Genomic DNA, 13,475 nt, shown 5'->3' with positions numbered 1-13,475 from the left:
AATAAAAAAAATTATGGGCCAGGCACGGTGGCTCACGCCTGTAATACCAGCACTTTGGGAGGCCGAGGCGGGTGGATCACCTAAGGTCAGCAGTTCAAGACCAGCCTGGCCAACATGGTGAAACCCTGTCTCTACTAAAAATACAAAAAATAGCCGGGCGTGGTGACGGGCGCCTGTAGTCCCAGCTACTCGGGAGGCTGAGGCAGGAGAATCGCTTGAACCCAGGAGGTGAAGGTTGCAGTGAGCCGAGATCGTGCCTCTGCACTCCAGCCTGGGCGACAGAGCGAGTCTCCATCTCAAAAAAAAAAAAAAAAAAAGAACCTGAAAATAATGAAAGATCTGATGAGAGTTCATTATAAAAACAACACACAATGAATTCTGGTTGTTTTTGTGACACACGACGTATTAAATAACAACTGAAATCATGAACAGTAACAGAGGCGAACAGATCGGATAACAAGGGCATTGACAAATTTTTAGGACATTTATATAATTTCTGAAATAGCAACATTTTAACTATATAAATATAATGTATGGAAAGTTAAGTGTCTTTTGACAATGCTTCCCATGTAATTGAATATATCAAATAAACTGAATTAGTTTAACATCTCCCTTTTAACAAGGTGGTAGAACAAATCCTTTGAAACTGTCAGTTTCAAAGATTTGACAGTTTCAAAGGATTTGAGTTTTGAGATTTTCCAGGGACCTTCTAGAAAACTTCAAAGTCCGTTTGAGGTCAAGAAGATTTAATTTAGAATTTGATTCTGATTTTGGGAAGTTGGCAAAGATGTCAAAAGATCTGAAAACTTAAATAAAATAGGATCATATGTCATCGTGAAACAATATTTCGTTATCTGTTTAACCAAAGTGACAATAAAGATTTCAAAGGTAAATAAAGGTGATAACATAAGACAATAAACCAACACATGTATAAGAGGGAAAGAGTGTGAACCTCCAGGGCCCATCTGGAGGATAATGGTTAAAAAAAACCATGGGTTGGACACAGTGGCTCACGTCTGTAAGCCCAGCACGTTCCCATTTGTGTTTTGTTTTGTTTTGCTTTTTAAACAGAGTCTCGCCCTGTCACCCAGCCTGGAGTGCAGTGGTGTGATGTCGGCTCACTGCAACCTCCACCTCCTGGGTTCAAGCCGTTCTCTGCCTGAGCCTCCCGAGTAGCTGGGATAATAGGCATGAGCCACCAAACCTGGCTAATTTTTGTATTTTTAGTAGACACGGGGTTTCACCATATTGGCCAGGCTGTGGTTTTTTTTGTTTTTTTGTTTTTTTAAGACGGAGTCTCACTCTGTCGCCCAGGCTGGAGTGCAGTGGCGCCATCTCAGCTCACTGCAAGCTCCGCCTGCCGGGTTCACACCATTCTCTCGCCTCAGCCTCCCGAGTAGCTGGGACTACAGGAGTGAGCCACTGCGCCCGGCCAGCCAGGCCGGTCTTAAACTCTTGACCTCAAGTGATCCGCCCGCCTCGGCCTCCCAAAGTGCTGGGATTACAGGCATGAGTCACTGCGCCCGGCTGCATCTCTGTTTTAAATAAATTTATAAACTAATAAAATAAACATGGCTGGGCAGGTGGCTCACGCCTGTAATCCAGCACTTTGGGAGGCCGAGGCGGATTACATGGGTTGATTACATGAGTTTAGGAGTTCGAGACCAGCCTGGCCAATGTGGAGAAACCCCTTCTCTACTAAAAATATAAAAAGTAGCTGGGCATGGTGGTGGGCGCCTGTAGTCCCAGCTACTCGGGAGGTTGAGGCAGGAGAACGGCTTGAACCTGGGAGGTGGAGGTTGCAGTGAGCTGAGATCGCGTCATTGCACTCCAGCCTCAGTGACAGAGCGAGACTCTGTCCCCGCCACACAAAAAAAACAACAACGAGGCAGCTCCCTATACACTGACGAGCAAGTCTTCAGGATGTTGGCTGCAGGCAGCACTGTAGGGAATGAGGCATTTTGTGTCCGCGGTGTCGCCTAACAAGGTGTGGCTGGGAACACACACAAGGCAGCACCCGGGTGTTAGTGAGGGACGAATAGAGAAGACCCTGTGTGCCCCATGCTACAACCTTCACATCGCTTTGCTCCACATGAGGCTGTTGCTGGATTCACCACTTGGAACACACACATTTAAAAATTATATAAAAATGATGGTTCTAGGATGGCAGAGGCAAGCCTTCTGCGTCTGTACTGAGGACACAGACGAGGTGGATCCACCTCTGGCGCCCACGCCACCCTGAGCCAGCAGCATTTTCCTAACAGGAAACCAGTGTTATCTTTTAGAAATCAAAGACACTCAAGCGTTGCTAATATAACGCCTGCACTTTGGCCTGGCTCTGGATGTACCGGGCTCTGGATTCCTCTGCTTAATTGTCCTAGGAGGGGCCGCATTGTGTTAATGAGTAAACTGAGGCACAATAACTTTTAAAGTGTTCATTTAGCAAACAGCAATTAACGACTCGGGCAGCTCCAAACCAGCAGGTGGCCGTGGAGGCACCAAGTGACTCCAGAGGGAGCCGGGACAGACGGGGCAGACCTGAGACAACGCTTGGTGGGCAAAGGTGGCAGTGGCTGCATTTGGTCGGTTCCCTTGGAGGCCACGCGGCTCCAACTGACCTTCTGAGTTTGTGGGTTCCCCATGTGCAGAGTAACCAACACAGACTGAAACTTTTGGAAAAAAATTCCAGAAAGTTTCAAAAAGCAAAATTGGAATCCGCTGCACATCCATCCTAAAGTGCAGTGCGGGCGTCCCGCTAGCCACGAGCACCTCCGAGCTGAAGACGACGGGACACACACAGAGACAGTTACGTGCAAAGATGACACCAGTTTCTATCAGGGACTTGAGCATCCATGGATTGTATGATCTACTGGGGTCCCGGAACCCATCCCCGCAAACGTCAAGGGCCACTGTGCTGAGACCAGCTCGGCTGTGGAGACCCTAACCCAGCGGCGCTAGAGGAATTAAGACAAAGACACGGGGACAGAGTATAAAGTGGGGATCGGGGGCTGACAGCCTTCAGAGCCGATGGGGATCGGGGGCTGACAGCCTTCAGAGCTGAGAGCCCTGAACAGAGCTTGACCCACACGTTTATTGACAGAAAGCCAGTGATAAGCATTGCTTGTATAGATTATAGATCAGCTAAAAGCATTCCTTATGGGAAACAAATTCTCAGTGAGGAACAGAGAAACAGGCTCCGGCTGATTATCTGCAGCAAAAACATGTTAAGGCACAGGCCGCTCCTGCTATCGGTTGTGGTTTGAGCAGTTTTCCGCTCCGGGTGGGCCAGGTGTTCCTTGCCCTGCTCCAGTAAACCAACAACTTTTAGCAGTGTGTGTGACAGCCATCACGAGCATGTCACATTGCTGCAGAAATGCTGTTTACGGCCATTTCTTGAAGGCCTGTTTAGGCCAGGCTCAGGGTCTCTGTTCCCAACACCACTGTGTACGTATATTGGCTGCTTCTGATGTGTTGAGCCTAAGTCCTATTCTTCTAGCTCAAGTAAAGTTTCAATTATGTTTACGAATCAAACAACATTGAGGTTACTTATGAGGCCTAATTGGTTCTGTCTGTGCAGGATTCTTCAGGCCTGGTGTCCCTTGAGATTTAATAATTCTCACCTCTGGCTGGGCGCAGTGGCTCACGCCTGTAATCCCAGCACTTTGGGAGGCCGAGGCGGGCGGATCACGAGGTCAGGAGATCGAGACCATCCTGGCTAACACGGCGAAACCCCGTCTCTACTAAAAAATAGAAAAAATTAGCCAGGCATGGTGGCAGGCACCTGTAGTCCCAGTTACTCAGGAGGCTGACGCAGGAGAATGGCGTGAACCCGGGAGGCGGAGGTTGCAGTGAGCCGAGATCGCACCACTGCACTCTAGCCTGGGAGACAGAGCGAGACTCTGTCTCAAAAAAATAATAATTTTCACCTCCGCAGGCGTGGTGGCTTACGCCTGTAATCCCAGCACTTTGGGAGGCCGAGGTGGGTGGATCACCTGAAGTTAGGAGTTCAAGACTAGCCTGGCTAACATGGTGAAACCCCATCTCTACTAAAAATGCAAAAAAATTAGCCGGGTGTGGCGGTGTGTGCCCATAATCCCAGCTACTTTTTTTTTTTTTTTTTGAGACGGAGTCCCACTCTTGTTACCCAGGCTGGAGTGCAGTGGCGCGATCTCGGCTCACTGCAACCTCTGCCTCCTGGATTCAAGGATTCTCTGCCTCAGCCTCCCGAGTAGTTGGGATTACAGGCGCCCGCCACCACGCCCAGCTAATTTTTTGTATTTTTAGTAGAGATGGGGTTTCACCATGTTGGCCAGGATGGTCTCAAACTCCTGACCTCAGCTGATCCACCTGCCTCGGCCTCCCACAGTGCTGGGATTACAGGCATGAGCCACTGTGTCCAGCCAATCCCAGCTACTCTTGCTGAGGCAAGAGAATCACCTCCAGCCTGGGAGGTGGAGGTTGCAGTGAGCCGAGATCACACCACTGCACTCCAGCCTGAGTGACAGAGTGGGACTCTGTCTCAAAATAAATAAATAATAATAATTCTCACCTCATCCTGGCAGATGGGTCTCTTTTCTGCCCCTCCTGGAGCAGAGCTGACACCCAGGGCTGGGGGAACAGCCCTGGAGGCATCCCAGATCCTCTCCCCGCCCCCCGGAGCCTTCTGACCCAGGTTAGTCCAATCCCATCCCTCCCCACTCTGGCCTGCCCCTGCCTTGGCCACCACCTGCTCCTGGGCTTCGTGGCACAGATGTTTCCAGAGAGGAGCTTTCTTGGCACGGCCGGTGGAGGTGACGTGGTGGTGAGTGCGGGGACTCGACCTCAGGCACCTGGGCTGTTCTGCCGTCCTCCCTGGAGGCAGGGGAAGGGGAAGGCAAGACAGCATGAGGACTGATGGCAGGGGCTGCCTGGGAATCCAGACCCACCCCTGCCTGCGGGAGCCCCCCCTCACACCAGCCCAGGCCGGGCAGCTGCTACGTGAAGATTGAATGGAGGTTTTTGCCTGGGAGGTGAGGACTGTGGCAGAATCTACCACGGCCGCCCCACCGTGGCTCTGAGGCTTCTGGGAGGGAGACAGGTACTCCCCAAGGGCCCTTCCCACCGGAGGCCCACGCATCCCAGCCACGCCCGTTTGCCACTGAAGAGCAGACTACAGGGACCGTGGGTGGTGCTGGCAGCGGAATCCCACAGCCCCGGGGCCAGCGGGTACTTGCCCAGAGCACCGTCTCTCTCCTGCTGAGGAAAGGCCTTCCCTGGCCAAGGCGGCAGGCAAGGCTGACGAGGGCTGAGGCTGGTCCTGGGAGGGCACCTGAATGTGGGCCTCTGCTAGTATTTAACGGTGGGGATGGCGGAGCTGGTGTCCACCTGCTAGAACCTGCCTGGGCCTCTGGTAGGGCACGTGTGGATAACAGACCCCCCCACGGAGCCCTCCGGCTGCACTCCCTGCCTGCGCCACCCGGCAGGCACTGACCCACAGCAGAGGACGCAGTAGACAGGGACGTGGTCCAGGCCATCACCTGCACCTGCTTGCCAGGGAACATGCGCGCCCAGGAGCCCTGGCAGGACGCACGTAACTTCCAGTCCCAGGACACCGACGTCCACCTGGTGACATTGCCCAAGTCAGGTAAGGTGCGGTGGCTGGGGCGAGGTCTGGGCAGGATGGCTCACACTACACCATCCACACTGCCCCAGCAGGCCTCAGTCCCCCCAGACACTGGGGACTGAACCCCACCACCCGAACCCCCTTGCAGGCACCTGTGCAGCCCATGGGAGCCCAAGGGCTGCCTCTCCGGCCTTGTAACAGAACGGCCTTCCAGACAAGGGAGTACGTCTGCCGTGGTCAATTTCAGGCACCAGTCAACACCTGGGGCCTCCGCAGAGCCTTCATGGTCTCCTTGGCAATGCATCCCACCAACCTGGCCGCCTAGGCCCGACTCCCCAGCCGCAACGTCCTCACCCAGGGCCACCCGCAGCCGCTGCTCCCCACCCCACCCGCTCTTGTGTGTCTGTTGGCCCACAAGTCTGTCTGGACTTTTGTGTGGACACCGATGTGTAGCTGTGTGTCTGCAGGAAGGACGTTAACTGGGTGTGGGGATCATGTAGGGTGTATGTGCACAGAATGGGGGGTCCCGGTGGGGACGTGGGGTTCCACCTATGGCTGTGAAATGGAAACTTTTTCAGCTGTGGCTGCCTGAGGAAGGCCCTGTGTGCCCAACCTGAGGCCCTGGCTTTCACCCACGGGATGAGGAGAACAGTCCCTTCCAGCCCTGGCCTCCAGCCCTCAATGCTCCCCTCCAGCCCCCAGTGCTCCCCTCCAGCCCCCACTGCTCCCCTGCAGCCCCCAGTGCTCCCCTCCAGCCCTCAGTGCTCCCCTCCAAACCCCAGTGCTTCCCTCCAGCCCCCAGTGCTCCCCTCCAGTCCCCAGTGCTTCGCCTCCAGCCCTCAGTGCTCCCCTCCAGCTCTCAATGCTCCCCCTCCAGCCCCTAGTGCTCCCCTCCAACCCCCAATGCTCCCCCTCCAGGCCTCAGTGCTCCCCTCCAACCCCCAGTGCTCCCCTCCAGCGCCCAGTGCTCCCCTCCAACTCCCAGTGCTCCCCTCCAACTCCCAGTGCTCCCCTCCAGCCCCCAGTGCTCCCCTCCAGCCCCCAGTGACCCCCTCCAGCCCCCAGGGCTTCCCCTCCCACCCCCAGTGCTCCCCTCCAGCCCCCAGGGCTCCCCCTCCAGCCCCCAGTGCTTCCCTCCAGCCCCTCCAGTGCTCCCCTCCAGCCCCCAGTGCTTCCCTCCAGCCCCCAGGGCTCCCCTCCAGCCCCCAGGGCTTCCCCTCCAGCCTCCAGTGCTCCCCTCCAGCCCCCAGTGCTTCCCTCCAGCCCCTCCAGTGCTCCCCTCCAACCCCCAGTGCTCCCCTCCAGCCCCCAATGCTCCCCTCCAACCCCCAGTGCTCCCCTCCAGCCCCCAGTGCTCCCCTCCAGCCCCCAGTGCTTCCTGCCAGCCCCCAGTGCTCCCCTCCAACCCTCAGTGCTCCCCTCCAACCCCCACTGCTTCCCTCCAGCCCCCAATGCTCCTCTGCAGCCCAGGGCTTCCCCTCCAGCCTCCAGTGCTCCCCTCCAGCCCCCAGTGCTTCCTCCAGCCCCCAGTGCTCCCCTCCAGCCTCCAGGGCTCCCCTCCAGCCCCCAGGGCTTCCCCTCCAGCCCCAGGGTCCCCTCCAGCCCCCAGGGCTTCCCCTCCAGCCCCCAGTGCTCCCCTCCAGCCCCCAGGGCTTTCCCTCCAGCCCCCAGGGCTCCCCTCCAGCCCCCAGGGCTTCCTCTCCAGCCTCCAGGGCTCCCCTCCAGCCCCCAGGGCTTCCCCTCCAGCCCCCAGTGCTCCCCTCCAGCCCCCAGGGCTTTCCCTCCAGCCCCCAGGGCTCCCCTCCAGCCCCCAGTGCCCCCCTCCAGCCCCCAGTGCCTCCCTCCAGCCCCCAGTGCTTCTCTGCACAGTGGGATGATAATGTACTGTCCTGGTGGAGTAATGGGGCACCAAGACCTTGCACGTCACTTGCTCCACCTGGGGTCTGGATGCTGACTGCCTGGGATGGGGAGGGCTGGCAGTGTGGCCAAGTCCCAGTGCAACTGGGGCTCCTAAAGATGTTTCAGTAAAGCAGTGAGGACCAACACCCCCACTCCAGCCTCTTCCACATGCACAGGGCAACACATCTACACCTGTGCACACGTATGCACCCATACATCCATGCACACACATGCATGCACACACATGCACACATGCATACATGCCTATGCACACACAGAGCAACACAGATACACCCATGCACACATATGCACCCGTGCATCCATGCACCCACACATGCCTATGCACACATGCACGCACACATGCCTAACAGACACACATGTGCTCAGCCAGGACCTAGGGGCTCCAGGCTGAGTGCTGGGAACCCAGGGGCCAGACCCAGCTCGCCACCCTGCCCTGCCTCCCCAGCAGTGCACCTAGGGTTTTTCTGAGGTCGGCCGTCCCGTCAGTGAGATGCACTCACAACAGTCAGCCAGGCGGGGTTGTTGTGGGAACTTAGCTCAGTGAGTACTGGAATACTCAGTACTCCTGGGCTGTGGTGGGTCTTGATGGGGTGAGGGGAGGGAGGCACCAGCTGGACAGGGGTCCTGGGTGGGCTCTGATGGGGGTGGGGCCCCAGTGCAGGGACAGGTGAGGCGTGAGGTGGCAAGGAAGACAGCTTTCGCCCACGGCCCTGCTGTGCCAGGGGCCGGCGGTACTCCTGTCTGACAGCCCTGCCACAGCCCCCGCACCAATTACAAGCACTTAGTCACAACTTCCTGCCTGTACTCGCCTCGGCAGCAGGAGAAAGAACAGCCTGGACGCTGAGCTGCTGCTCTTCCCACTCCCTCCAGCTGCCCCCCCCACCCACCGAGTCAGAGCCCTCATCCGACTCCGCGCATGGGTGGGCAGGGGTTGACCCCGCGTCCTCAGCCTGTGAGGCCCAGGCAGCCGGTGGCCAGCAAGACAGGGTGGGGGATGCTCAGCAGCTGTGATTGGTGGTTCCTGAGAATAAGGAGAAGCCGGCTCCCCTTGTGAAACTGACACCTATTTATCCAGCAGGGGCTCCTGCATCCCTCGTTCATTCCTCACAAGATCCCTGGGAAAGAGGATGTGTCTGTTACCTCCTGCCCTACGACTCATCACGCCCAAACCGAGTGGCTTCGAACAGCAACCGTGGATTAACCCGGGCCACGACCTGGGTCAGGAATCCACACGAGGATTTGCCGTGTGGCTTTGGCTCAGGCCTCTCGTGAGGATGCAGGCAGGGCATCCTGCCCGGGGCTACAGGAGCTGCTGGAGGTGGTGCACTCGCATGGTGGCCCCTGGCACTGGCTGCCAGCCGGGAGCTCAGCTGGGGTGCGGGCGCTTGAGCTTCCTCGCAGCATCGTCAGTTTCCCGGGAGCCACATCTCCTGAGCACGGGAGCAGCGCCCAGCATTCTTACCGTGGGGTGTCAGAATCCACGTGGGGGCCAGGCACAGTGGCTCACGCCTGTAATCCCAGCACTTTGGGAGGCCGAGGTGGGTGGATCACTTGAGGTCAGGACCAGCCTGGCCAACATGGTGAAACCCTGTCTCTACTAAAAATACAAATAAAAATACAAAAATTGGCCGGGTGCGGTGGCTCACGCCTGTAATCCCAGCATTTTGGGAGGCTGAGGCGGGTGGATCACGAGGTCAGGAGATCGAGACCATCCTGGCTAACACGGTGAAACCCTGTTTCTACTAAAAATACAAAAAATTAGCCGGGCATAGTGGCGGGCGCCTGTAGTCCCAGCTACTCGGGAGGCTGAGGCAGGAGAATGGCATGAACCTGGGAGGCGGAGCTTGCAGTGAGCCAAGATCGCACCACTGCACTCCAGCCTGGTCGACAGAGCCAGACTCCGTCTCAAAAAAAAAAAAAAAAATACAAAAATTAGCCAGGTGTGGTGGCACGCGCCTGTAATCCCAGCTACTTGGGAGGCTGAGGCAGGAGAATCACTTGAACCCGGGAGGCGGAGGTTGCAGTGAGCTGAGATCCCACCGCTGCACTCCAGCCCGGGTGACAGAGCGAGACTCCATCTCAAAAACAAACAAAAATAAGCCACATTGGACCGAAGTCTTCCTAGGTTCAAGAAGAAGGAACATAAACCAACTTCCAATGGAAGGGGCTGAGGAGTCTAGAGCCATGTTTCAAAGCTGCTATATCCGCGTGACAGGCAAGGAACAAGGCTCTGACTCACTGAGACTGTGATGGCTTGTCCAGGGTCACACAGCGGGAGCTGGTGTCCAGCTTGACTGAGGCTGTTTCCAAATCTCAAATCCACCCCCGAGGAGGAGCTCCTCCGCCTGCTGCAGGCAGTCCCTGGACTGGGTCCCATGGTGGCCCTTGCTGTGGGGTCCTGGCAGCTACACACTTTCTGCTTCTTATTTGGGAAATAAGTCCACATCCAGGCAGGTCATACCCAGGCTATTCTCAGCAAGGGTCAGGCTCTAATTCGAGGTCAGGAGGGGCTGAAGACTCAGGGAACCCATTGGTCTCACCTGGGGGTCTCCACACCGGCCGGCAGGACCCCTGACTGCCCTGCCCTAGGGGCCCCTCTGGGTTTCAGAGCCGGATGTCACACCCCGGGGAGGAAGATGCCTGACAGGTGGACCTACAGGAACTGCAGAACTAGCATCTCAATTCCTAGGACTCAGCCTGGAGCCTGCAGGTCCCGGCTAAGCACGTGTCCGTGTGGATGTGTTAGGCATGTATGCACATGTCTGTGCATGGATGCGTGGGTGCACGTGTGCGTGCGTGGATGTGTGGGTGCGTGTGGGTGCATGTGTGTGCATGGATGTGTGGGTGCGCGTGTGTGTGCACAGGTGTATACATGTTGCTCTGTGTGTGTGTGCACACCAGCTACACAAAGCTAGCACCTCTGCTTCTGACTGGCTGTGTGACCTTGGGCAGGGCACCTCACTGTGCTGAACCCTGATTTTCTTGTCTGTGAAAAAGGAGCATCTGTCATCCTTTTGGGGCAGGATCCTTGGGTGGCAAATGACAGAAACCCAGTCCCACCTGAGCTAATCAGAAAGGGAGCTCATGGCTCCTCAATGGGAAGTATCGGCTCAGGAGCAGGCCTGACAGGAGCAGGCCTGAGCATGCACCTGCCACCAGCTCTCTGGGTAGTGTCCTTCCCAGGCAGGCCCTGCCCATGTGACCCCGCTAAGTGGTCACTGTCCACAGCTCCTCAAGCCAGGAAGAAACAAGGGGTCCCAGAACTGAGTCTCACGGGCCAGCTTGGGGCACGTCCATCCCTGGAGCAAGCACTGTGGCCAGGAGGCAGCAGCCCCTGCCTGGCCAGGCCTGGATCCTGTGTTCATCCCAGTGACCCACGGGGTTAGGGGGAGAAGTCAAATTATTATTGCGTGCGTCTCTGAGCAACGTTGGGCTGCTTTCTCAGGCTGGGAATTGCTGGCGAAAGTCACATTCTCAGAGCTGAGCTGGCAGACGCCATCCTGTCCCTGCTGTCCCTCGATGGTCTCAAACACACCCCAGACACCCAGCAGCACAGAGACCAGGGTGGCCCAGCCTGCCCACTGGCCTGACCCCAGGGCTGCTGCCTTCTGCCATGGGAGGACGGCAGGAGAAGAGAGGGTGGGAGGAGGGGGCTGGGGTGCTCACAGCCACTCCCTGCTTGCTCCATAGGGGTCTGGGAGTGGCCACATCCCTGTAAGGCAGCAGTTCTGGGAAGGGACACACTCCCTCCAGGGCGCCAGCTCACCGAGTGACCTGCCCATCCCTGTCTGTCTGAGGTCAGCTCCCTGGCGCCCCACTGTGGCCGCCCCAACCCTGTTCTGAGGTAGACTCCTCGGCACACCTGCTTCCTGCTAAGATCTCAATGGACCAACACCTCTCGACTTTGAGTCAGCCCAGAAACCGTCTGACACTTTCTGGCCCAAAAACCACAGGCAGGTGGCACAGGGCACCAACACTCACCCTCTGTCCCAGCCCCTGAGACCCCCGACCCGCTCAGGGCCCCAGCCCCGATACTCACCCTCTGCCCAGCCCCTGAGACCCCCAATCAGCACAGGGCCCGGATACTCACTCTCTGTCCAGCCCGAGACCCCCTGACCTGCACAGGGCCCTGACACGCAACCTCTGCCCAGCCCCCGAGACCCCCGATCAGCACAGGGCCCTGATACTCACCCTCTGTCCAGCCTGAGACCCCCCCACACCTGCACAGGGCCCTGACACCCTCTGTCCAGCCCGAGACCCCCGATCAGCACAGGGCCCTGACACGCACCCTCTGCCCAGCCCCTGAGACCCCCGATCAGCACAGGGCCCTGATACTCACCCTCTGTCCAGCCTGAGACCCCCCCACACCTGCACAGGGCCCTGACACCCTCTGTCCAGCCCGAGACCCCCGATCAGCACAGGGCCCTGACACGCACCCTCTGCCCAGCCCCTGAGACCTCCGATCTGCACAAGGCCCGGATACTCACCCTCTGTCCAGCCTGAGACCCCCCCACACCTGCACAGGGCCCTGACACGCACCCTCTGCCCAGCCCCTGAGACCTCCGATCTGCACAAGGCCCGGATACTCACCCTCTGTCCAGCCTGAGACCCCCCCACACCTGCACAGGGCCCTGACACGCACCCTCTGCCCAGCCCCTGAGACCTCCGATCTGCACAAGGCCCGGATACTCACCCTCTGTCCAGCCTGAGACCCCCCCACACCTGCACAGGGCCCTGACACGCACCCTCTGCCCAGCCCCTGAGACCTCCGATCTGCACAAGGCCCGGATACTCACCCTCTGTCCAGCCTGAGACCCCCCCACACCTGCACAGGGCCCTGACACGCACCCTCTGCCTGGCCAGCCCCTGAGGCCCCCCGACCGGCTCAGGGCCTGAAGCCTCAGATGTGGATGGAGGGGTGATCTCTGGGCCTGTCCATCCCCAAAGAGACCAACATTGATCCTTCTGAAATTCACAGACTGGCCAGGTTACCATGGCGATACCCATGATCCCTGCTTAACAGAGGACGAAGCAAGAGCTAAAAATAGGCCCCAGAGTGGATGGATGGACAGATGGGTGGGTGGGGGGATGGGTGGACGGATGGGTGGACGGACGGGTGGGCGGATGGGTGGACGGATGGGTGGGCGGGGGGATGGGCGGGGGGATGGGTGGGCGGATGGGTGGATGGATGGACGGGTGGACAGATGGGTGGATGGATGGGTGGGCGGGGGAATGGGTGGACGGATGGGTGAGTGGACGGATGGGTGAGTGGATGGATGGGTGGACGGATGGGTGGGGGGATGGGTGGACGGATGGGTGGACGGATGGGTGGGTGGGGGGATGGGTGGATGGATGGGTGGGTGGGGGGATGGATGGACGGACGGGTGGGTGGGGGGATGGGTGGACGGATGGGTGGACGGATGGGTGGACAGATAGGTGGACAGATGGGTGGACGGATGGGTGGGGGATGGATGGACGGATGGGTGGGTGGACGGATGGGTGGATGGATGGGTGGACAGATGGGTGGGTGGGGGGATGGATGGACGGATGGGTGGACAGATGGGTGGGCGGGGGGATGGGTGGACAGATGGGTGGGCGGGGGGATGGGTGGACGGATGGGTGGGCGGGGGGATGGGTGGACGGATGGGTGGGCAGGGCGATGGGTGGACGGATGGGTGGGTGGATGGACCGATGTGGGGATGGGTGGGCCTGGATTCAGGGTTAGGACAATTTGTTTTTCTCAGGCAAGATCATTCAGGGGAAATCTCAAACTCAGGGCGAGGAGGTCCCAGCAGGTGGGAGATGCCCCGGCTCCACGAACATCACATGGAGGCTTCACCCTCCAGCCCAGCTCCCTGCGGTGCAGGCCATGTGGGAGGCTCCTGGCACCCCTGCATCACGTCCACAGTCCTCACTCACTGGGTTTCAGGCCTGGGAGTCCCAGGAAGCCGAG

General features: G+C 58.3%; 1 annotated feature.

Annotated features, from left to right (window-relative positions):
* Positions 10,479-11,392: an enhancer, noted in NCBI's record as "H3K27ac-H3K4me1 hESC enhancer chr16:89665942-89666855 (GRCh37/hg19 assembly coordinates)". NCBI's record gives its function as "activates a minimal SCP1, AML or CMV promoter by ChIP-STARR-seq in naive H9 embryonic stem cells {active_cell/tissue: H9 hESC(naive)}" and the evidence as "EXISTENCE:reporter gene assay evidence [ECO:0000049][PMID:30033119]".

Source organism: Homo sapiens, chromosome 16 (assembly GCF_000001405.40).
Source record: "Homo sapiens chromosome 16, GRCh38.p14 Primary Assembly".
Classification (NCBI taxonomy): domain Eukaryota; kingdom Metazoa; phylum Chordata; class Mammalia; order Primates; family Hominidae; genus Homo; species Homo sapiens.
This window is presented reverse-complemented; position numbering and strand designations above follow the sequence as displayed.